Source organism: Homo sapiens, chromosome 1, assembly GCF_000001405.40.
Source record: "Homo sapiens chromosome 1, GRCh38.p14 Primary Assembly".
Taxonomy (NCBI): Eukaryota; Metazoa; Chordata; class Mammalia; order Primates; family Hominidae; genus Homo; species Homo sapiens.
Window position 1 is genome coordinate 227,405,819 of NC_000001.11, and position 23,760 is coordinate 227,429,578.

The 23,760-nt window shown below is 42.2% G+C and overlaps 1 long non-coding RNA gene and 1 pseudogene across 1 annotated transcript in view, besides 1 other annotated feature; one reads left to right on the forward strand and one right to left on the reverse strand.

The window, feature by feature from the left end:
• Nucleotides 1-11,900, forward strand: part of LINC01641 (long intergenic non-protein coding RNA 1641) — a 24,165-nt gene extending 12,265 nt beyond the window's left edge. Inside the window, exons 3-4 of the long non-coding RNA NR_187381.1 lie at nucleotides 3,937-4,066; nucleotides 11,518-11,900. This is a non-coding gene — a long non-coding RNA (long intergenic non-protein coding RNA 1641). The remainder of the gene's footprint in view (nucleotides 1-3,936; nucleotides 4,067-11,517) is intronic.
• NUCKS1P1 (nuclear casein kinase and cyclin dependent kinase substrate 1 pseudogene 1) lies at nucleotides 4,355-17,964 on the reverse strand (annotated as a pseudogene).
• Nucleotides 12,500-12,692: a silencer, noted in NCBI's record as "fragment chr1:227606019-227606211 (GRCh37/hg19 assembly coordinates)". NCBI's record gives its function as "represses an EF-1alpha promoter that drives an FKBP-Casp9 reporter gene in an ReSE screen in phorbol 12-myristate 13-acetate-treated (for megakaryocytic differentiation) K562 erythroleukemia cells {active_cell/tissue: K562(+PMA)}" and the evidence as "EXISTENCE:reporter gene assay evidence [ECO:0000049][PMID:32094911]".
• Nucleotides 17,965-23,760: the final 5,796 nt, after the last annotated feature.

Sequence of the window (23,760 nt, forward strand, 5' to 3'; positions counted from 1 at the left end):
CAAACTATACTGTAAGGCCATAATCACCAAAACAGCATGCTACTGGTATAAAAATAGGCACACAGATCAATGGAACAGAATAGAGAATCCAGAAATAAACCCAAATACCTACAGCCAACTGATCTTTGACAAAGCAAACAAAAACATAAAGTGAGGAGGCCAGGCGTGGTGGCTCACGCCTGTAATCCCAGAACTTTGGGAGGCCAAGGTGGGTGGATCATGAGGTCAGGAGATCGAGACCATCCTGGCTAACACGGTGAAACCCTCTCTCTACTAAATATACAAAAAATTATCCGGGAGTCGTGGCGGGCGCCTGTAGTCCCAGCTGCTCAGGAGGCTGAGGCAGGAGAATGGCGCGAACCCGGGAGGTGGAGCTTGCAGTGAGCTGAGATCGTGCCACTGCACTCCAGCCTGGGTGACAGAGCGAGACTCCATCTCAAAACAAACAACAACAACAACAACAACAACAAAAGCCACCACCACCACCACCAACAAAAAACATAAAGGACACCCTTTTCAACAAATGGTGCTGGGATAATTGGCTAGCCACATGTAGGAGAATGAAACTGGATCCTCATCTCTCAGCTTATACAAAAATCAACTCAAGATGGATTAAGGACTTAAATCTAAGACCTGAAACTATAAAAATTCTAGAAGATAACATTGGAAAAACCCTTCTAGATATTGGTTTAGGCAAGGACTTGATGACCAAGAACCCAAAAGCAAATGCAATAAAAACAAAGATAAATAGCTGAGACCTAATTAAACTAAAGAGGTTTTGTATGGCAAAAGGAACAGCCAGCAGAGTAAACAGACAACCCACAGAGTGGGAGAAAATCTTCACAATCTGTACATCTGACAAAGGACTAATATCCAGAATCTACAATGAACTCAATGAAATCAGCAAGAAAAAAATAATCCCATGAAAAAGTGGGCTAAGGACATGAATAGATAATTCTCAAAAGAAGATATATAAATGGCCAACAAACATATGAAAAAATGCTCAACATCACTAATGATCAGGGAAATGCAAATTAAAACCACAATGCAATACCACCTTACTCCTGCAAGAATGGCCATAATCAAAAAAATAAAAAAACAGTAGATATTGGTGTGGATGCGGTGATCAGACAACACTTCTACTCTGCTGGTGGGAATGAAAACTAGTACAGCCACTATGGAAAACAGTGTGGAGATTCCTTAAAGAACTAAAAGTAGAACTACCATTTGATCCAGCAGTCCCACTACTGGATATCTACCCAGAGGAAAAGGATTCATTATATGAAAAAGATACTTGTACATGCATGTTTATAGCAGCACAATTCGCAATTGCAAAATCATGGAACCAACCCAAATGCCCATCAATTGAGTGGATAAAGAAACTGTGGTATATATATATATATACAATGGAATACTACTCAGCCATAAAAAGGAATGAATTAACAGCATTCACAGTGACCTGGATGATCTTGGAGACTATTAGTCTAAGTGAAGTAACTCAGAAATGGAAAACCAAACACCGTATGTTTTCACTGATATGTGGGAACTAAGATATGAGGACGCAAAGGCATAAGAATAATACAATAGACTTTGGGGACTTGTGGGGAAGGGTGGGATGGGGAAGAGGGATAAAAGACTACAAATAGGGTGCAGTGTATACTGCTTGGGTGATGGGTGCACCAAAATCTCACAAATCACCAGCAAAGAACTTGCTCATGTAACCAAACACCACCTGTACCCCAATAACCTATGGAAAAAAAATAAACAAAATGCAAGTGAATTATCCTAAAGGTATTCATCCTTATTGTCTTCTCATTGAGAAGGCTGAGGAGGAAAAGAAGGAGGAGGGGTTGAGTTTTATTGTCCCGGGGTGGTAGAGGCAGAAGAAAATCCACATATAGGCGGACTCATGTAGTTCAAATCTATGTTGTTCAAGAGTCAACTGTTCTTTCTGTCTCTATGAATCTGTCTATTCTGCGCATTTCATATAAATAGAATAATGCCATATGTTGTGTTTTGTGACTGGCTTCTTTCACTTAGCATAATGTTTTCAAGGTTCATACATATTGTAACATGAATCAGAACTTCTTCATTGCTGAACAGTATTCCATTGTATAGAATCAGCCTGTTGTGGGGCTTCTTAGTGTCCATAATCACGTGAGCCAATCTTCCTAATAAATCCCCTCTCATCTACCTATCTATCTACCCTATTTTCATTCATTCATTCATTCACTCATTCATTCATTCATCTAACAGCTTTTTAACTAGACTTTCCTCTTATCTGCTAATCTTCACTCACCTTCAACCTCACTTTAAGAAGAACCTTGTTACCAGTTCCTAAGACTTTGGGAGTTCTTCAGTGTAAGTTGGACTCTTCGCAGCTTCCCAACCACTGCTATACAATTTGACACCCTCAGGTCTTCTAATTCAGTTGTCACTTGTCTGAGTGCTTTCCACCATCCGAAATTTTGTTTTTGCTTTCTCCTCTCCTCTTTGTCCCTGTGGTTTATGTCTTTTTTGTGTTTCAAAATCTGTTTAATTACTCTTTAGAATAACTTGAGAATAAGAGTTAATGCATGCATTTTACCTGCATCTTTAACTAAAATTTCTAGTATCAATCTCTAATAATAAGAGATGGCTTTAACCTGATTTTATAAAATCAATACAAATAGTGTAAAATTACTGTGCCAACATCATAGAAAACCATAAACAGTTAACTTAGACAGATACATGCATACATGAAGCTATAAATGATACACAATGTGCCTCTGGTTTTCATTTTAGACAAGCCTGATGGACAGAAATCTCTCTCTCTTGGTCCTTCTTGATCCTTCCATTGCCATTGGTTTATTGTCGTCTACTGATCTTTTTCTGTCACACACATTGCCTATATCCCACACCTTCCTCTATCAGTAAGTCCTCTTTCTGGTATGAAGAATTTTATATAGGCATACTTCAGAGATATTTCAGGTTCGGTTCCAGACCACTGCAATGAGGCTAATATTGCAATAAAGTGATTCATATGAACGTTTTTGTTCCCCAGTGCATATAAAAGTTATGTTTATACTATACTGTAGTCTATTAAGTGTGCAATAGCATTATGTCTAAAAAATGTACATACTTTAAAAACACTTTATTGCTAAAAAATGTTAATGATAGGCTGGGTGCGGTGGCTCACGCCTGTAATCCCAGCACTTTGGGAGGCCGAGGCAGGCAGATCACGAGGTCAGGAGATCGAGACCATCCCGTCTAACACCGTGAAAGCCTGTCTGTGCTAAAAATACAAAAAATTAGCCGGGTGTGGTGGCACTCACCTATAGTCCCAGCTACTTGGAGGCCAAGGGAGGGGAATCGCTTGAACCTGGGAGGCGGAGGTTGCAGTGAGCTGAGATTGTGCCACTGCACTCCAGCCTGGGCGACAGAGTGAGACTCTCTCTCAAAAAGAAAAATTGCTAATGATAATCAAGTCTTCAACAAGTTATAATCTTGCTGGTGAAGGGTCTTGACATTGATGGCTGCTGATTGATCAGGGTGGTTGTTGCTGGGGGTTAGCATGTATATTCGTTGGAGTTCTTCAAAGAGATAGAACCAATAGGGTAGATAGATAGGTAGATGAGAGGGGATTTATTAGGAAGATTGACTCAGTGATTATGGACGCTAAGAAGCCCCACAACAGGCTGACTGCAAGCTGGAGACTCTGAGATGCTGGTAACATGGCTCAGTCCAAGTCTAAAGACCTCAGAACCAGGGAAGCGGGTGGTGTCACTCTCAGTGTGAAGTCAGAAGCCTGAGAACAGGGGAAGCCATTGGTTTTAGTCCTGGAGTCCAAAGACTGGAGAGCCTGAAGTTGTTGTCCAAGGATAGGAGAGGAAGAGTGTATTCCAGCTCCAACAGACAGTGCAACATAACTGCCTTTTTCTGTTTTGTTTTCTCCAGGCCCCTGGAAGATTGGATGGTGCCTGCCTATACGGAGGGCGGATCTTCCCCTCCTCGTCCACTCAGACTCACATGCAAGTCTCCTCTAGAAACACCCTTGCAGACACACCCCAAAATGACACTTTTAGAGGTTTGTATGTTTCCTTAAACTAGTCAAGTTGACACTTGAAATTAACCATCATCACAGGGTGGCTGTGACCATTTCTTTTTTTTTAACCAGTTCAGAATTCATCTTTATCTTCTACTTGCCTCATCAGTGTAAGTTTAAAGTCATGTTTTTTTAGACATTTATACTTGTGTACATAGACAAATAAACTCATATTGGATGACAACTGATTTTTTAAAAGTCCAGGTAGAGAAAGAAGCAATCATTTTGAACTAAAATCTGTCTACGTTTTTTTAGTTACTATTCAACTTGCTATTGTTCAGCAAGAAGCAAAGTTTCCATAGTGTTCATCTCAAATCTTACTGCTTTACAACTGCGGTACACCTTCCATTAAAAATAAAAAGATGAAGCCATCAATCCAGTGATTAATTTGACATAGCTTTCATTGGGAAAGGGCAGCTGGGGGTGGGTGGGGGCATTGGCAAAGAGACCAATAGACAAAAAGGTAATTTAAACAATTAAACATACAATGGTTTTATTTTTAAAAGAGAGAGAAGTGTTACTTTCAACAATTGGAAAAAAGCACTGAAAGCCCATGGGTCAAGCCGTAGACAAAACCATGTTCTATCTTAAGTAGGTTCTTTTTTTCCTCCCTCTCTTTTCTTCTTTTCTTTTTCTTTTTTTTCCTTCTCTTCTCTCCTCCTCTCCTCCTTTCCTCCTCTTCTCTCCTTTTCTTAAAAGCTCTCCCCAAACCATCAACGCTTTTAAGCCTCCCCAGATGCCTTCATCACCAGATTTCTTGGGTGGGGGCTTGTAGATGTTTTCTTTTCTGGCGGGCTTTCTGGTACCTCATCTTCCTTGGGAGAAGTAATCTTTTCCTTCGATGGCTTTGAAGCTGTGGGGCGACCCACATTCCCTTTGCCTTTCACTGGACTTGGCGTCACTGTAGCCTTTAGCCTGGGTTTGGACATTTTCTTTTCTTTTCTCTCAGGTTTGGACTTCTTAACCATCTTTTTGTTTTTCTTTTTTGAATTGCCATAGTCACTATTGTCATCATCTTCCATCAGGAAATCTTCATTGCTGCTGGAATTCTCCTGGAAGGGTGTCTCATCCTCTTCTTGTTCTTCCTCATGCCCACATCTTCCATGAGCTCTGTTTGGAAGCTGCTTTAGATGCTGCCTGCTGTGCTGGCGTACATTTTTATCATCTTCATTTTCATCTTCATTATCCTCTGCTCAGTGAAAATCATCCTTCTTTGTCTTCAGATCTTTTTCTTCTGAGTCCTCACTATCTTCCTGTGAATTCTTTCCAGATTGCCTTATTTTTAGCTTCTAGGGGAGATGATGAAATTTTCTTAGTGATAGGGCCCGAATCTCTTCCATAATCTTCATTTGCATCACCAGATTCCTGAAACTGTGAGTAATCAACAAACCTTCCTAGTTCTGAAGAATCGCGACATGTTCTCTGTTGAAACAAGACAGAGTTGAGAAGCCAAAGACCAGGACACCCTCAACCCCGTGCACTTGGCGGCCACCCACCACTCCTAACTTCAGCCGAACCCTGAGCTGCCGGCTTCTCAAACTCTGCTGCTTTTTGGTTTAGAGGAGCCCCCCGCTCCCCCTGCTCTTCAAAATGCAACCATTTCTTAAAGTAAGACAATGAAGTTTGCTGCATCGATTGACTCTTCTTTTCATGAAAGATTTCTCTGTAGCATGCAAAGCTATTTGATGGCATTTTACTCACAGTAGAACTTCTTTCAAAATTGAAGTCAATCTCTCAAACCCTGCTGCTGCTTTAACAACTAAGTTTATGTAATATTTTAAATCTTTTGTTGTCATTTCAATAATATTCACAGTGTCTTCATCAGGAGTAGTTTCCACCTCAAGAAACTACTTTCTTTGCTCATCCATAAGAGGCAACTCCTCATCCATTAAACTTTTATCATGAGATTGCAGCAATTCAGTCACATCTTCAGGCTCCTCTGCTAATTCTAGTTCTCTTACACTTTCTACCACATCTGCAGTGACTTCCTCCACTGAAGTCTTAAAGTCCTCAAAGTCATCTATGAGGGTTGGAATCAACTTCTTCCAAACTCCTGTTAACATGGATATGTTCTCCCATGAATCATGAATGTTCTCAATGGCATCTGGAATGGTGAATCCTTTCCAGAAGGTTTTCAACTGACTATGCCCAGATCTATGAGAGAAATCACTATCTATGGCCACTATAGCCTTACAAAATGTATTTATCGGCTGGGCGCAATGGTTCATTTCTGTAATCCCAGCACTGTGGGAGGCCGAGGTGGGTGGATCACCTGAGGTCAGGAGTTTGAGACCAGCCTGGCCAACAAGGTGAAACCCTGTTTCTACTAAAAATGCAAAAATTAGTCAGGCGTGGTGGTGGGTGCCTGTAATCCCAGCTACTCGGGAGACTGAGGCAGGAGGATTGCTTGAACCCGGGAGGCGGAGGTTGCAGTGAGCCAAGATCGTGCCATTGTACTCCAGCCTGGGCAACAAGAGCGAAACTCCATCTCAAAAAAAAAAAAAAGTATTTTTTAAACAATAAGACTTGAAAGCCAAAATTACACCTTGATGCATGAGCTGCAGGACGGATGTTGTGTTTGCATGAAAACATTAATCTCCTGTATAGCTCCATCAGAGTTCTTGGATAACCAGGTGCATTATCAATGAGCAGGTAAATTTTGAAAGGAATCTTTTTTTTCTGAGCAGTAGTTCTCAATGGTGGGCTTAAACTGTTCAGTAAACCATGCTGTGAAGAGATGTTCTATCATCCTGGCTCTGCTGTTCCATTTGTAGAGCACAGGCAGAGTAGATTTCACATAATTCTTCAGGGCCCTGGAACTTGCAGAATGGCAAATGAGCATTGGCTTCAACTTAAAGTCACTGGCTGCATTAGCCCCTAGCAAAAAATTCAGACTGTCCTTTGAGGCTTTGAAGCCAGGCATTGACTTCTCTCTAGCTACGAAAGTTCTAGATGGCATTATCTTCCAATAGAAAAGGTTTCATCTATGTAGAAAATCTGTTGTTCATTAATTATCTCAGCTAGATCTTCTGTGTCACTTGCTGCAGCTTCTCCATCAGTACTTGCTGCTTCACCTGGCACTTTCATGTTATTAAGACAGTTTTTTCCTTGAACCTGATGAACCAACATCTGCTAGCTTCAGACATTTTTCTGTAGCTTCCTCACCTCTCTCAGCCTTCAGAGAACTGAGGTGCATTAGAGCCTTGCTCTGGATTGGGTTTTGGCCTAAGGAAATGTTATGGCTGGTTTGATCTACCCAGACCACTAAAACTTTCTCTATTTCAGCAACAAGACTGTTTCATTTTCTTATTCATGTGTCCCATGGAGAGGTGCTTTTAATTTCCTTCAAGAACTTTTCCTTTGCATTCACAGCTTTCCTAGCTGTTGGGAACAAGAGGACTAGCTTTCGGCCTATCTCAGCTTTCAACGTGCCTTCCTTACTAAGCATAATCATTGCTAGTTTTTTATTTAAAGTGGGAGATGTGCCTGTAATCCCAGCACTTTGGGAAGCTGAGGCAGGCAGATTGCTTGAGCCCAGGAGTTCGAGACCAGCCTGGGCAACATGGCAAAACCCTGTCTCTACCAAAAAATATAAATATTAGCCAGGCATGGTGGTGCTTGCCCGTAATTCCAGCTACTTAGGAGGCTGAGGTGGGAGGATTTCTTAAGCCCTGGAGGCAGAGGTTGCAGTGAGCTGAGATGGCACCACTGTACTCTAGCCTAGGTGATAGAGCAAGACCCTGGCTCAAAAAATAAATTAAATAAAGTGAGCAGGGCGTGGTGACTCACGCTTGTAATCCCAGTACTTTGGGAGGCTGAGGCAGGTGGATCACCTGAGGTCAGGAGTTCAAGACCAGCCTGGCCAACATGGTGAAACCCTGTCTCTACTAAAAATACAAAAATTAGGCAGGTGTGGTGGCTCATGCCTGTAATCCCAGCTATTCAGGAGGCTGAGGCAGGAGAATCACTTGAACCAGGAGGCAGAAGTTGCAGGGAGCCAAGATGGTGCTACTGCACTCCACCCTGGGCAACAGAGTGAGGCTCCGTCTCAAAAGAAATTAAATAAATAAATAAAGTGAGAGATGTGCAACTCTTTTACTTGAACACTTAAGAGGCCACTGTAGGGTTATTAATTGACCTAATTTTAATACTGTTGTATCTCATGGAATAGGGAGGACCCTGAGGAGAGGGAGAGAAATGGGGGAACAGCCAGTCAGTGGGAAGAGCCGGTTGGTGGAGCAATCAGAGCACACACATTTATTGATCAAGTTCATCTTCTTATGTGGGTGCTGCCCATGACTCCCCAAAACAATTACAACAGTAACATTGGAGATCACTGATCACAGATCAGTATAACAGAAATAATAATGATGAAAAAGTTTGAAATATTGTGAGAATTACAGAAACGTGACACAGAGACCATGAAATGAGCACATGCTGTTAGAAAAATGTCAAAGATAGGCTGGGGCATGGTGGCTCATACCTGTCACCCCAGCACTTTGGGAGGCCAAGGTGAGAGAATCACTTGAGCCCAGGAGTTCAAGACAGTCTGGGCAACATAGTGACAGCCTCATCTCTTAAAAAAAAAAAAAAAAGTTAAACCAGGTATGCCTTTAATTGCAGAGCATTCCCAATCACTCAGCCCACCACTGCTCCTTTAAGAAGGCTCTTTGTGATGTTCTGTGGTTCTAGCCCTGCACATTCCCAGTTTCCTCTTGCATGATTCTACCTTCCACTGAAACAGAGCAAGATCTGCTTAAGATCCTATAAAAATGACTTTGGCATGTGCCCTTTGCCTGGGAACAGCTTTTTCAGTTGCTGCTGCTGCTGTGTAATATGTTAGGTTACATGGACTACCATTTTTTGTTAAAGAGAATGACTTCCAAGTTCAGTAGGTGCTTCTTGAAAATATAGTTCCCCGTGATGCAATAATAATTGATTCTGTTATTTCCTATTCTTGTTCTTATGTATGTGACATATGACATGTAACTGAGACACAGTTCCTATATTTAATATTTGCTGTTTGTTCCACAATCTTTTCATAGATGGGATTAGGTTGAACATTACCCTGTTCTATCTGAATTATATGTAATATGCTATAAATTTGAATAATCCACGGTAAGGTGATTTTAAGCTTAACTCTGCCCCAGCAGGTGATAATTATTTTATTAGAGCATTCTGTATCTAGTCACTCCGCATAGTGTTGACTCTTGGTTTGAAGTCACACCTCATGCCTGTGGTTCAGCATGCATCTTTGGGCCTCAATGTCTTAGAAAAACTTAGCTTAGTGGACTGGATTTACAGACCTGGGGAGGACATGGAAATTTCAAGTTTCTCATCCAGAATCTTCTTCCAACTTGCTGTGTGGCCTTCCACGCGTCATTTCATACTCGCTCGATCATTTCTTCATTTCAGCATGGAAACAGAGCCCATTAGCTTCTCAAGGGCATTGTAAGAAAGGGGAGAGCAGTGGTCAAAAAGGAAACAAACTGAAAAATATCAAGATCCCTTCAATAGTTCTGACCTCTAGTGAAAAAAGGAACAACGTGGTACCGGAAAACCCAGCATGTATATAGCCAAAACCAAAGACTTGTTGTTGTAAAGAAAAGGGAACAATGTCTGATTTTAACATTCACATATTCCAAACCACAGTCTTCCAGGTCTCTCTCCCGCAGCCAAGGCTGATGGTAGCAGCCAGGTCTAGAGGAAAGTTTCCAGAAAGCAGATTTTGGCAAAGGTTGCCTTTAAACCTGCAGAGAATACAATTCCAGTTTTTGGGTTTTTTTTTCTTAAGCACATTTTCATTCCTTTTTGCCACAGAATTTCATGGACTATGTTTATCTTTCCTTTTCAGGTCATGGTATATAGACTTTTCACAGTCAGACGTGAGGAGTAGACATATTTCTTGAGTGTTTTTTTCTTTCTTTCCTTACAAAATTCTTTCAACTTGGAGGTGGAGCCAAATTCTAAGATTATATTTTCAGAGAATCATTTTTCTTATGTGATCATTAAATTACTTCAGAGAAAGAATGAGATATTAAAGTCCACTCTCTGACTGCTTTGAGAAGAGGCTCACATGTGCCAGGTGAAAGGAATAATTATTGATTTTAATTCTATTCCCTGGACAAATGGCCCCTGTGGCCCAGAGTCCTGGCACCCGGAGATGGCAGTGAGCCCTGGGTCTGTTTAGGATAGTTTTGTAAACAACAACAACAACAAAAAAGCCACTGCAAGTGCACTGGTTTTAGAGGAATGTCCAAGAAAATTGCCCTCCTTCTCCTCACAACATGTCATTACAGAAAAATAGAAGTCCCTGCATTCCAATCTGATTTTTATTTAACTCTGCAAGCCTGTAAATTTTGCCATGAGGTAAGGGGCTGATTCAGAGCTCCAGAATCCTTTTGGTGCCACAGACACTATTTCAAAATGGATATGCTTTTGGGTTTCTTAGTGTTATTCTGCTAGGGTCATGGAATAAATGGGGCTCTGTCTGAGGAGAACTCCCAGTCCTGGTAAACAAGAACCAGGATGCCTGGTGGTCAAAGTAGCTGCCTTGCGTTTTAAAGGTTAGGAGTTCAAATCTTGTGGGTTTGAGCTTGGGTTAAAGTATCCACGTATCTAGGTTGAAGAAGCAATAACGTCGCACAATGGAATCTGGCTTACCCATATCTAATTTCTGGCTACAATTAATTAAATACATACTTCCTATGGAATTCTTTACCTTGTAGATCGTGGACAAAGGGTCCACATTCCAGAGGGCACAGGAAAGCTTTACTTTCCAAGCTTCCTGGGCTGTACAGTGTATATAGACTTGAATTCTACCACATAGGCATGCGGTTCATATTTGTCAACATTCCTTAAATTCTGATAGACCTATAGCCCTAGGCCTCCTTTCTCCTCTTAATTTTCTTTTCTCCTGATTTCCCAGGGAGATAATAATTTACAGGTTTTCTTTTTAATTTTTTTATTTTTATTTTTAAAAACAGAGCCTTGCTCTGTCATCCAGGCTGGAGTGCAGGGGCGCCATCTTGGTTCACTGCAACCTCCACCTCCCTGGTTCAAGCTATTCTCCTGCCGCAGCCTCCCAAGTAGCTGGGATTACAGGCATGTCCACCTAATTTTTGTATTTTTAGTAGAGACAGGGTTTCACCATGTTGGCCAGGCTGGTCTTCAACTCCTGGCCTCAAGTGATATGCCCACCTTGGCCTCCCAAAATACTGGGATTATAGACATGAGCCACCGGGCTCAGCCTAATTTACAGTTTTAAAGACATATTTTTTGCACAGATGACCCATTGGAAATAGGCCCCATTGATAGAAAATATAACCTGTATTAGGGCCTGCAATTGTAGTGGTCTAATCTTTGTAATGCTTTGTTTTTCTATAGCATTTCAATGTTTATGAAACATATATATGATCTCTTTTTACCCTTAGTGTCTTCGAAGAAGGTAAATATTGTTCCCATTTTGTGGATAAGAAAAATGAGAACCAGAGCGATCAAGGGCTTGCTCAAAAGTACTCAACCAGTTAATGTCAGAGCTGGCACCTGAACTCAGGCCTCTACAACTCTAAATGTTTTCAATGATAGCAGAATTGCCTCTAATGGCAAAACATTGTAGAATCATATTGATGTTTCAGATTATATTGCCAGTCGTACTTCGTTGAGCTATGCTTGGTAATGCCACTGCCATCTTGGAAAGAAAATAGATGCTGAAGTTCCCCATAGATGCTGAACACTCAGAAAGTGCCAATAGTTGCATCGATTTGATTGTATCTGCTACCTCATTCCCTCTGAAACACCTGCAAATAAAGGAAAATAACTAACCCATTGTGCCCCCATCTAAGAATGCCTGAAATCAGAAATATCCCAGCATTGTGACCTGAAGTTGCCTCAGCAGGAAGTTCTGTTTTTTAAATTAGGACTCTAGCCATTTTTTTTCCCAGTAGCTCTTATTGCCAGTGGGGCTTTGAGCAAACAGTTCCCAGGAAAGCTGTCTATACCTACATGATATGAAGACAATAATGATACCTGCTTCCTGTCTACCTGGCAAGTGTGTTGGGAAAAGCAATAAGATAATGTCTGTCATGTGCTTTGAATGCCTAGAAAGAAAGATAGGGTTTATGAGCAAGGGTGTGATTATATTGAGTCAGCCATGATATCATTGTCTATATTATACATATGTGGTTGTTGCCTAAGACACTGCTGAGTATAATTTGGCTCTCATATTTGATGTTTTAAGGACATGATGATGTTACAATAAGTTAGCAGAAGAGCCTAAGTTGGGAAAGGAAGGTATCCTTTTCTTTCAAAAATTCCTGTATGACTGAAATTTATTTTAGGCTATCTTCTCCAGCTGGTCCTGCAATTAGGACGGCCTCCAATGTTCACAATGCACTCCTTCCATTTCTTCATCAGTCAAGTGATTCCTCCTCTAGCTGGTCCAGGATTTATGGCAGGAGGGTGACCTGGAGAAGAGAGAAAATGTGTCCAACTCTACCGAGGGACCACTACAATTTAAAAGCCCAAATAGAGGATTTCTATGACCATGCTTCTAGCAAACCCATGCCTGCCTGTCAGGCCAGTTCCCATAGAGCAATGTCCTGTCCCACACCTAACAGGGCCAGAGCAGATGACTTGCCCCCAACCACCATTTGAATTTGTTTAAAAGAATAATTCTAGGCCGGGAGCGGTGGCTCATGCCTGTAACTCCAGCACTTTGGGAGGCCGAGGCAGGTGGATCACCTGACGTCAGGAGTTCGAGACCAGCCTGGCCAACATGGTGAAACCCCGTCTCTACTAAAAATTCAAAAATTAGCTGGGCATGGTGGTGGGCACCTGTAATCCCAGCTACTCGGGAGGCTGAGGCAGGAGAATCGCTTGAACCTGGGAGGGGGAGGTTGCAGTGAGCCAAGATCACGCCACTGCACTCCAGCTTGGATGACAGAGCGAGACTCCATCTCAAAACAAAAACAAAAATAAAAACCAAACCAAAACAAACAAACAAAAAATAATTCTAAAACCACAACTCATAACCATTCAAGCACCTTTTGGAATGCCAGGCACTGCCTAGGGCACTAGAGATACAGATGTTAAAACATTATTCCTGGGCCAGGAGCTGTGGCTCTTTCCTGTAATCCCAGCACTTTGGGAGGCCAAGGCAAGAGGATCTCTTGAGTCCAGGAGTTCAAGACCAGCCTGGGCAACACAGGGAGACCCTGTCTCTATAAAAAATTAGCCAGGCATGGTGGTGTGCGCCTGTCGTCCCAGCTACTTGGGTAGTAGGGCTGAGGTGGGAGGATTGCTTGAGCCCGGGAGGTCAAGGCTGGAGTAAGCCATGTTCATGTCACTGCACTCCAGCCTGGGTGACAGAACAAGACCCCATCTCAGAAAACAAACAAACAAACAACCCAACAACAATAAAAACTTATTCCTTAGGGAAATGGCTGTCCAAGGAGGAGACACTTGGAAAGGACTAGCACCCAGTAAAGTGCCTGAGACACAGTAGGACCAGAAGCACACTCACTGAATGAATTGCCAATAATGTATTACAAGGTGATGAGGACCATAATAACAAAAGCACAAGGTGCCATGGGAGCATGTTAGTGGCCACCTGACTAAGAGTGGTAAGAGGAGGAAGGAGAGTGCATGGAAGACCATGTGTAACGGCTTCACATAGGAAAGAGTGGGCAAGCCCTTGGTTTGTGATGACAACAGCACAGAGTGTCAGGCTTTTTATTCTATTCTAGTTCACTTAAAAAACAAACAAACAAACAAACAACATGCAAGTCTCAGCCCACTAAAGGTTTCAAGCCACAGTGTGAAAGTTCTATATTATTAGAAAGGATTTTCTCTTCTTCACACCTGTCGGCCTAGGAGCCAAGGACTAGACAACAGAATTAAAATGTTTGCTCAGGAGTTCCTAAATTTCTGCCACTGAGCACAATCATTTCCACCCCATCTTAACATTATTTATTTCAGTCATGAGCAAACATCGGTATTAGTTTCCTATGGCTGCTGTAAAACATTGCCATAAATGTGGAAACCTAAAACAAATATATTCTTTCATGGTTCTGGGGGCCAGAAGCCTGAAGTCAGTTTCACGGAGCTGAAATCAAGGTGCCGGCAGGGCTGAGCCCCTCCCAAGGCTCTAGGGGAGAATTCGCTCTTTTCCTTTTCTCCCAGCTTCTGGTGGCTGCTCCTTTCTTCGGCTTGTGGCCACATCACTCCAGTCTCTGAGTCCCTGGCCATGTTGCCTTCTACTCTTCTGTCTGTGTTGAATCTTCCTCTTCCTCCCTCTTATTTAGGGCTCACTGGCAATCCCTCTGTCGAAAGATCTATAATTTAATCACACCTGCAACATTCTTTTTTTGCCATATAACTTTCACAGGTTCCAGTGATTAGGAGGTAAACATCTTTAGGAGTTGAGGGGGCGTTATTCAGTCTACCACAACATCTCTGTCTGAATCACCGAGTCTCCAGTACAAACCTGTTGAATATCTCAGTTGAGTTTCTCTTTGCTTTCATTCAAGAAGGCAGAATAACTCCTCTCCTCTTTCTTTACGGGAGAAGAACATAGGCGAGAGGATGGGAGGTAACTTTTGCTGAGCCCCTACATTTGCATGCACTCTTCATAGCAAGATTGTGCGTAGCTATTATCACCATTTTCCAGATGACAAAGTCGAGGCTCAGTGGGGCTGAGTGACTCGCCCAGGTTCTCCCAGGGAGAAGAGTCTGAATTTGACTATGGATCTGTCTGATTTCAAAGCCCATGTCCTTTCTGTTATATCAACATTCCTCAAATTTCAGGAATGCACCAGCACCTCATAAAGGAAAAAAAAAACATCTACAAGCTCCAGTTTGAGAAAAAAAACTAATTTAAGGAACTAAGTTTTATCCTATAAAAACATAAATTTTACTTATTTATTTCTTTATCTTTTATGAGACAGGGTTTTGCTCTGTTACCCAGACTGGAGTGGAGGGGCACCATCATAGCTCACTGCAGCCTTGAACTCCTGGGCTCAAGCAATCCTCCAGCCTCAGCCTCCTGAGTAGCTGGGACTGCAGGGAGCACACCACCATGCCCAGCTAATTTTTTAAAACAAATTCTTGCAGAGACAGGGTCTCACTGTGTTGCCCAGGCTGGTGTCAAACTCCTGGGATCAAGGAATCCTCCCACCTCAGCCTCCCAAAGTGCTGGGACTTGTAGGCATGAGCCACCACACCTGGCCTGAAACATACATTTTAAAATGCTCAAATTGTCCCCAAATCCCAGTGACTGACACACCTGTGTGAGAAACGCTGCAAGACGCTAAAGTCCCCCTCATTTCTGAGGACTCTGTTTTCAAGGATCTTTTTTTTTTTTTTTGGAGACAGGATCTCACTTTGTCACCCAGGCTGGAGCACAGTGGCATGGTCATGGCTCCGTGTAGCCTCAAACTTCTTGTCTTAAGCAATCCTCTCTCCTCAGCCTCCCAAAGCACTGGGATTACCGGCATCAGCCACCGTGCCCGGCCTCAAGGCTCTTAAAACTAAGACCCAGGATGGCCACATTTCAACCATGTTGTGCCACTGCTTAGGAAATGCTTCGGTGAAACAAAGCATTTGCCACTAATAAGACTTTAACACCAGCAATCTGTTAATATTACAGATGTAAGTTAAATATTTCCACCACAGAGATGCTTCATCAACTTCAGTCAGATTAAAGTAATGGCCGTGGCATTTTCTGACCTTAATCTGAATGAAAGTTTACCTGGATGTCCCACGCAAGCCTTGTAGGTGAAAAATGTTACCCTTGTTCTGGCATATTCTAACCACCTGGAATAAAATTGAAGCCTAATGCTTATTGAGCAGTCACTTGGTTACACTTATTATGTGCTAAGCACTTTACATGAATTAATGTATTTAATATTCATGAAAACTTTATGGGGCAGGTCATATCCTTATTGCCCTTTACAAGTGATAAACAGAGGCACAGAAAGGTTAGGTAATTTCTCCAAAGTCCTACTGCTAGCAAGAGGTGTAGAGCTAGGATTAAAGACAGTCATCTGGTTACAGACACCATCTTTTTTTTTTTTTTTTTAAAGACAGGGTCTCACTTTTTTGCCTAGGCTAGATTCGAACTCCCAGGCTCAAACAATCCTCCCACCTCAGCCTCCCAAGTAGCTTGGACTGTAGGCGTGCAGCACTGTGCCCAGCCAGACACCATGTTTTAATATAACTGACAACAAAGATGTTTATTCTGTGTCCAGACTCATCTCTTGGGCCCAGGCCTGAGACCTCAAGTGTCATGCAGAGCTCCAGCCCTGTCTGCCTCCTACCTCCCTGGCCTATAGCAGTTTTGCTATATCAGGCTCTTTCGTGAGGGCTTATGCTTCCCTTTCACTGTCTATTCACCCTGGGACACAGCAAAAGGTGAAATGCACTATCCCTATATTGGATACTAGAAATTCCAATCTACTTCCTACCTCCTGTTCCAATCTACCACCGTAGAGGCAGTGAAGAGAAAAATGGAATATCCCCCCCCACCATGCCTCTCTGTCTTCACTCTATTCCCTTAGTCTACCTTTTTGTGACCTTTTTCCTTCAAAGATTTCCCTGGAAAAATGCTGGGGTTACAGGAGAGACACCATGTGGTTTGTCTCAAATTTCCTAGGAATGGATAGGCTTCCAATTTCAAGAGATCCTTTGAGTCCTTAATCATTTCTTCCTTCATCATGACTCAGATATTCTTGCACACTGATCACTAACTTTGTCTGTGTCAGTGAAATTTGGTTCTAGTTGAGATTCAGTTCCAGGTGACTGAGTACTTGCACATAGCTGCACTCTCTAAGGTGTAGTACATTCTCATGTTCCTAAAGATTTGCTCTTCTCTTTCTAGCATGTGTTCCCAGGAAGAATACGATCCACTGTGTAAGAATGCATTCTACAATGCATTCTACCAAAGACTTGTGCTTGTTTTGTTGTCTTGGTTGCATTTCTGGGAGGCATAATCCTGATCCTCGTCCAACTGAAGAATCTAAGTACCCAAGCTTGGAAGCCCTTTCTCTAAGAATATACAGTAGTCCCCCACTTATCTGAAAGGGATACATTCCAAGACTGCCAGTGGATGCCTGAAGCCACAGATAGAACCAAGCCTCACATATACTATGTTTTTCTGATCTGATAATCAAGATGGCTAAATGATTTTGTGCAGATAAAAAGGTAGGATTCGCATCCTGGGCAGGAATGGAGTAGGACAGCCTGAGATTTCATCATGCTACTCAGAATAGCACAAAATTTAAAACTTATGAATTGTTCATTTCTAGAGTTTTCCATTTAATCTTTTTGGGTTTTTCATTTGTTTGTTTGTTGAGACAGGGTCTTGCTCTGTTGCCCAGGCTGGAGTGCAGTGGTGTGATCATGGATCACTACAGCCTTGAACTCCCAGGCTCAAGTGTTTCTCTCGCCTCAGCCTCCTGAGTAGCTGAGACTACAGGCATGCACCACCACAACTGGCTATTTTTAATTTTTATTTGTAGAGACAGGGTCTCACTATATTGCCTAGGCTGGTCTTGAACTCCTGAGCTCAAGCAATGCTCCTGCCTCTACCTCTCAAAGTGCTGGGATTATAGGTGTGAGGCACCATGCCCTGCCATTTAATATTTTTGGACTGCAGTTGACCAGAGGTAACTGTAACTGTGGAAAGTGTAACCGTCAATAAGGGGGGACTATGGTATAGACAGTCCTCAAAAGGCCCCAGTCAATGATGAAAGCTGTGCAGATGTCCTGACAACCAAGAAGCAACTCACTGTAGAATATTATAATAATATAAAGATTACATAAGGTCAACTTTGCGGGGTTCTCAAATTATACCTCACTTACTCTGAGGTGAGCAGATCCATATTAGTTCTACTGTTCTTTTTTGTTTAAGAAGCAGTCTTACTCTGTTGCCCAGGCTGGAATGCAGGGGCGTGATCTCAGTTCACTGCAACCTCCACTGTGAAACCTCTGGGTTCAAGTAATTCTTCTGTCTCAGCCTCCCAAGTAGCTGGGATTACAGGCATCCACCACCATGCCTGGCTATTTTTTTTTGTATTTTTTAGTAGAGATGGGGTTTCACCATATTGGCCAGGCTGGTCTTGAACTCCTGACCTCAAGTTATCCACCCGCCTTGGCCTCCCAAAGTGCTAGGATTACAGGCATGAGCCACTGCGCCTGGCCTCTCATTTCTTAATCATTGATTTCCAGTTCTACCTGAAAGACTCCAAACTCTGAAGTAGTTAACCCCACAGGTTTTCTCCTACGTAGTCCAGATTAGGGTCTGTGTCTGGCGTCTAAGAATCCCACAGCACCAACAGCCACCCTGACTCTCTCCTTGGATTTCATCTTTTAGTCTCTGGACTCAGCCCCAACATTTGGACATTTGCAAGCAGAAAGATATGTTCCCGAATAAGGAAGTCAATAAAAAAATCCATGTTTACATTTTTCACTCCTTTCTCATTCCCTGCACTTATAGGGCCCTTCTCTAAGATAATATCAATCTATTTAATCTGCTTCCCTAAACTGTAAAGTTCTTCAGAGAAAAAACAATCCATCAAGTGCTCTGTTTCCCCTTCACTTCCCCTGGTCAGGGTCCATCAGACAATCCGTGTGGCTGACAGAGTGAGTGAGAAACCCCAGCCCTTCCGGCCAGGTAGGCATACTTCCTCTGCCCCCAGGTTCCTTAAAAAATGGTCATTCTTATTTTGTTATTTAGTGCGGTTTTTATCCAGAGGGGTCAGTTCTTCCGAGGGGCAGACTTTCAACCAACTGATTAAGAAATCTGGCAGAACCTTTCCCATCTCAGGATTCCCGGTAGAAAGAAAACCATGCTGCATGTGGCTCTGGGAGAGGAGACCACTTCTGAGCATGGTTGGCTGCTTTATCCCCTGCCCCTCCGAGATCCTGGCAGCCGCTTTACAGAATCCCTAAATGTTATGTTTATTGGTCATTCTGGCTACCCAGACTTTAAACATCCTTTCCCTTTGGAAAGAAGCATCCAAAAGAAGGGAGGCAAGACTCCATTTCCTACTTCAGAAGCCAAAGAGGGCAGAGAGTTTCTTTCTTTGGCGCAGCAGCTAGGGAACCAGCATATTACCCTGGGTTCAGCTGATCAGTGGCCCCAGTAGGACAGGAAGACTGTGGGGAGGCAGAACGTTTTGGCGGTGGCTGTGCTGGAGTTGAGTGTCCAGCAGCGCAGCAATGAGTGTTCAGGGGTGCCAGAGCCCAGCAGCATGATGACAAGTGCCCAGCATTGACAACACCAATGGCAGCATGCCAAGTAGAATATCTTTGTGCCTTGCCACCTTGTTTTTTTTTAAACAGTCTCGCTTTGTCACCCAAGCTGGAGTGCAGTGGTGTGATCATGGCTCACTACAGCCTCGACCTGGGGCTTAAACGATCCTCCTGCCTCAGCCACCTAAGTAGCTGGGACTACAGGCACGCACCATCATGCCTGGCCAATTTTTAATTTTTTTTTTTTAATTGATGAGGACTCTCTATGCTGCCAGGCTGGTCTTCAATTCCTGAGCTCCTGCCTTGGCCTCCCACAGTGCTAGGTCATGAGGCCTCCCTAGATTTTTATCCAATTTCATCACCTGGTTCTCCAGCCTTGCACTGATTCTTTGAACCATATGATACATTTCCAATAAATCCACTTTCCAACTGAGATTTCCATTGGTGGCAACCAAGAATTCTGTCTGATAGACCATCTGTTTCTTCTTGAACACACAATCCAGGAACAACTGAGTTTGGTGGACTTGATGAGGCCATTTCCTGCACTCTTACCGATCCTCCCACTATGTGCTAATTGCTTTACTTTCTCTTAAAACTGAAGAAGCTGTGTGTGCTCCCGAAACTGCCATGCAGGACCTCAGTAGATGTGTGCCATAGAACCACAAGCAAGCTCAGATAAATGACTAGGAAGCAGGAAGATGCATCTGATGGCTTCTCTGCATGAAGACCAAATAAAAGGAACCTTGTACGTGGACTCTTTTTAAAAATTAAAATTTATTTTGTTTCTTGCATCTAATATAGAAATAATTCATATTCATTGTGGAAGATCTGTGGGAAAAAAAATAGAAAGAAAAAAAGACTCACCTGTCATCTACCAAACACCAATAGACACAATTGAAATGATGATGTGTTTCTAATGTTTTTTTTATAAAGATCTTTTCATAGCTATGTTCATCCTGAAAATTCTGAAAAGAGCAGCAACATTTCCAGTACATTATTGATATGCACACACATACAGTATATACACATTGTATTAGACTGTTCTGGCATTGCTATAAAGAAATACCTGAGATTGAGTAATTTATAAAGAAAAGAAGGTTTAATTAGCCACAATTCTGCAGGCTGTAAAGGAAGCATGATGTTGGCATCTGCTCGACTTCTGGAGAGGCTTCAGGAAACTAACAATCATGGCAGAAGGTGAAGAGGAAGCAGGCACTTCACATGGCCAGAGCAGGAGCAAGAGAGAGAGGGCGGAGGTGCTACACACCTTTAAATGACGAGATCTCATAAAGAAGTCACTCACTATTGCAAGGACAGTACCAAGGGGATGGTACTAAATCATTCATGAGAAATCTGCCCCCATGATTTAAACACTTCCCACCAGGTCCACCTCCCATATGGGGAATTACAACTGAACATGAGATTTGGGTGAGGACACAGATCCAAACCATATCAGATATAAAGTATGTATATATGAAAAGGTAATGGGAATGTTTATCATATGTTATATATATTCCTCCACTTTATATATAATATAAATATTGAGATATAAACATTATGAATATAAATTATATATGTAAATATAAATTATAATTATAGGCTGGGCATGGTTGCTCACGCCTGTAATCCCAGCATTTTGGGAGGCCGAGGCAGGCAGATCACTTGAGGTCAGGAGTTTGAGACCAGCCTGGGCAGCATGGTGAAACCCCATCTCTACCAAAAACACAAAAAATTAGCTGGGTGTGGTGGCAAGAAACTGTAGTCCCAGCTACTCAGGAGGCTGAGGCAGAAGGATTGCCTGAACCCCAGAGGTGGAGGTTACAGTGAACAGAGGTCCTGCCAGTGCACTCCAGCCCGGGTGATGGAGCGAGACTCCATCTCAAAAAAAAAAAAAAATAAATAAATAAACAAATAAAATTATCATTATACATATTATATTTATATTATATAATACAATACATAATATAATTATATGTAATGTAATATAGAATATATTATATATTAGAATTATGTTAATGTTATAATATAAATATAAATTATAAACATTTATATATCATATATAATATTTATATTATTATCACTATAAATATATTTATATTTATGTTATATAATATTATATACTATAATATAATGATTCATATAATATATAACATATATTATAAATATTCATATTATATACTATAACATAAATACATATATTTATCCCCAGTACTAAATATAAGACAGTGAACTCTATTTTTCAGTAGGAAGCATTTCTCAAAGTGTCACATAGAACACTTATTCCTCCATTTGTTAATATCTGCTATACACATAATATAAAAAGATATTTTCTTGATCAGATAAGTTTGGGAAATGCTGAGCTAAAGTCAAACATATTTCTTTATTGCATGAATTTTCAGAGCTTTTAACACAGCAGAGTGCAAACATGCATTTCCCAACCCCTGTGTGACCACAGGACTCCCTTTTAAAGCACATTTCTCAGGATTAGTGTTCTAAGGAGCACGGACCCAGAAAGCTTAGAACTTCCTATCATGTTCCTTCTTCTTCCACCTACTTCATTATTGAAGAAACAGCTCAGAGTTGGTGGGAGGAAAAGAAGAATGTATTTCAGACACACAAAAGCAAAATTTGGAAAAGAAATAACAGAATGGGACCTTGGAAGTGATTTTCCTTTGTGGATGTGTTTATCTGTAAGGACATGTTTGAGGGTATGAGGTTCACAGACAAATGCCACGATTCGCACCCGAGAGAACTGAGGATAGAGCCATGCTGAATTCTAAGGGGGCAATCTTGTCTTGAGAAATATTGCTTCATAAGTGGGTCTACCCCTGCTTAAGTAAAATATCCAATTAATTTACTAGAACGCTGCATTGTCTGACTACAAGCAATTAATTTAATGTTACTCAATATCATTTCATTATTTGCCTCCCAAAAAAGACAGTTCTATATAACACATTTTCTAAATGATGCAAATAAGGATAAATGAGAAAATAAGGTAACACAAGAGGCATCGTTGAAGATGATGAGCATGTTCTTACTGGAACAAAGCTTGGGTTGACACAGGAAATCTCCATAAGAAATCCTGTTTTTGCCCCATGACTTTCCCAACTGACCTAAAGTCTGGTCAATCTCCAAGTGCAGTCTGCGCAGAATCTGAATTCATCCACAGATTAAGAATGAAAACATGCCTCTTCCATTAAACCAACAAGTGTGAATGCCAAACTGCAATTTGACATATACAGAAATTGAGGGAAACTGGAAGTAAAAAAAGAAACCTGAAATGGGTGATGTCTCCTAATAAACACCTTATTCACTGCCAGCTCTGCAAACTTGCTTTGTGCCAAAACCCATCCACGAGACTCCACAATACTCCTGACCCTGGTAGCTGTCATTTTTGGGATACGCTAAGCGTCTAGGAAAGTCTGGGAAATACCAGAGTTCAGAAGCACCTTCTTTCTGTGAAGGAGCCTAAAGGATATTCCAAGGCAACTTTCTAATTTTTTGGTTGAAATTTTCTTCATGCTTCTGTTTGGTGAGCTGCTCAGCTGACTCCCATGCCTGAGCTTCACAGTGCCAGCTCCCGCTGACCCTTGAGAGGGAAATGGAACCTGAGATTGTCAAAGCTGGAGGGGACCTGAATGATCATCCCCTCTAGCCCAACCTCCTCTGTTTACAGATCTGAAGGCAGGGAGCCTGAAACCCACCCAGCATCCTGGGAGTAAATGTGCTTTCCTCCCTTCTTCTATTTCTGTGCGATTTTCCCATGGCATCCAGCCAGAGCATCTACACCAGTAATGTCTAGAGGATTTATGAGGCCAAGCGATCCTTTGGGTTTCTACGCAGACCTAAACAGGAAACCCACACAAGGAAATGCCCTTTCTGTTTGCAGGCCAAATTCCCAGGATGCCTTCGCCAGAGTGCCCTGGCTGGAACAAAACAAAGGCCTGGCACAATAAATGCCCTTAGCTCCAAAGGCAGAGGTGCCCTCCCCACCTCTCCCCACCTCTCCCCATCCCCTCCCTAGTCCAGGAGGCCCTCTATTAGTTTAATGAGAATGAAACTTCCTTCTCTCAGAACTCAGCTTCACTTAATCCAACTGGTTGAGATGCTGGAGGGGGTCCCCCTGGATCTCCAGGTGGATTTCAGGGTATTACTTCTCCTTACCTGTGCAAAGTCAACCTGGGCAAGTCCTCCAGGTTAATTAACCAGACACCCTACTCACACCCCTCTTATTCTTTCTCCATGTTTAGCCCCTAGAAGATGCCTTAGAGATGAAAAAAAAAACACACGCATTTCCTAATGAAGAGGCAGCCAGATGCAGCCTCTGAGCCCTGACTGCACAGTGTGACAGTCACTCAACCCAACACAGCTCTCTTGCCTTTGCTGCAACCTCAACACCCTGCGTCCTGCCAAATCTCTTCCCA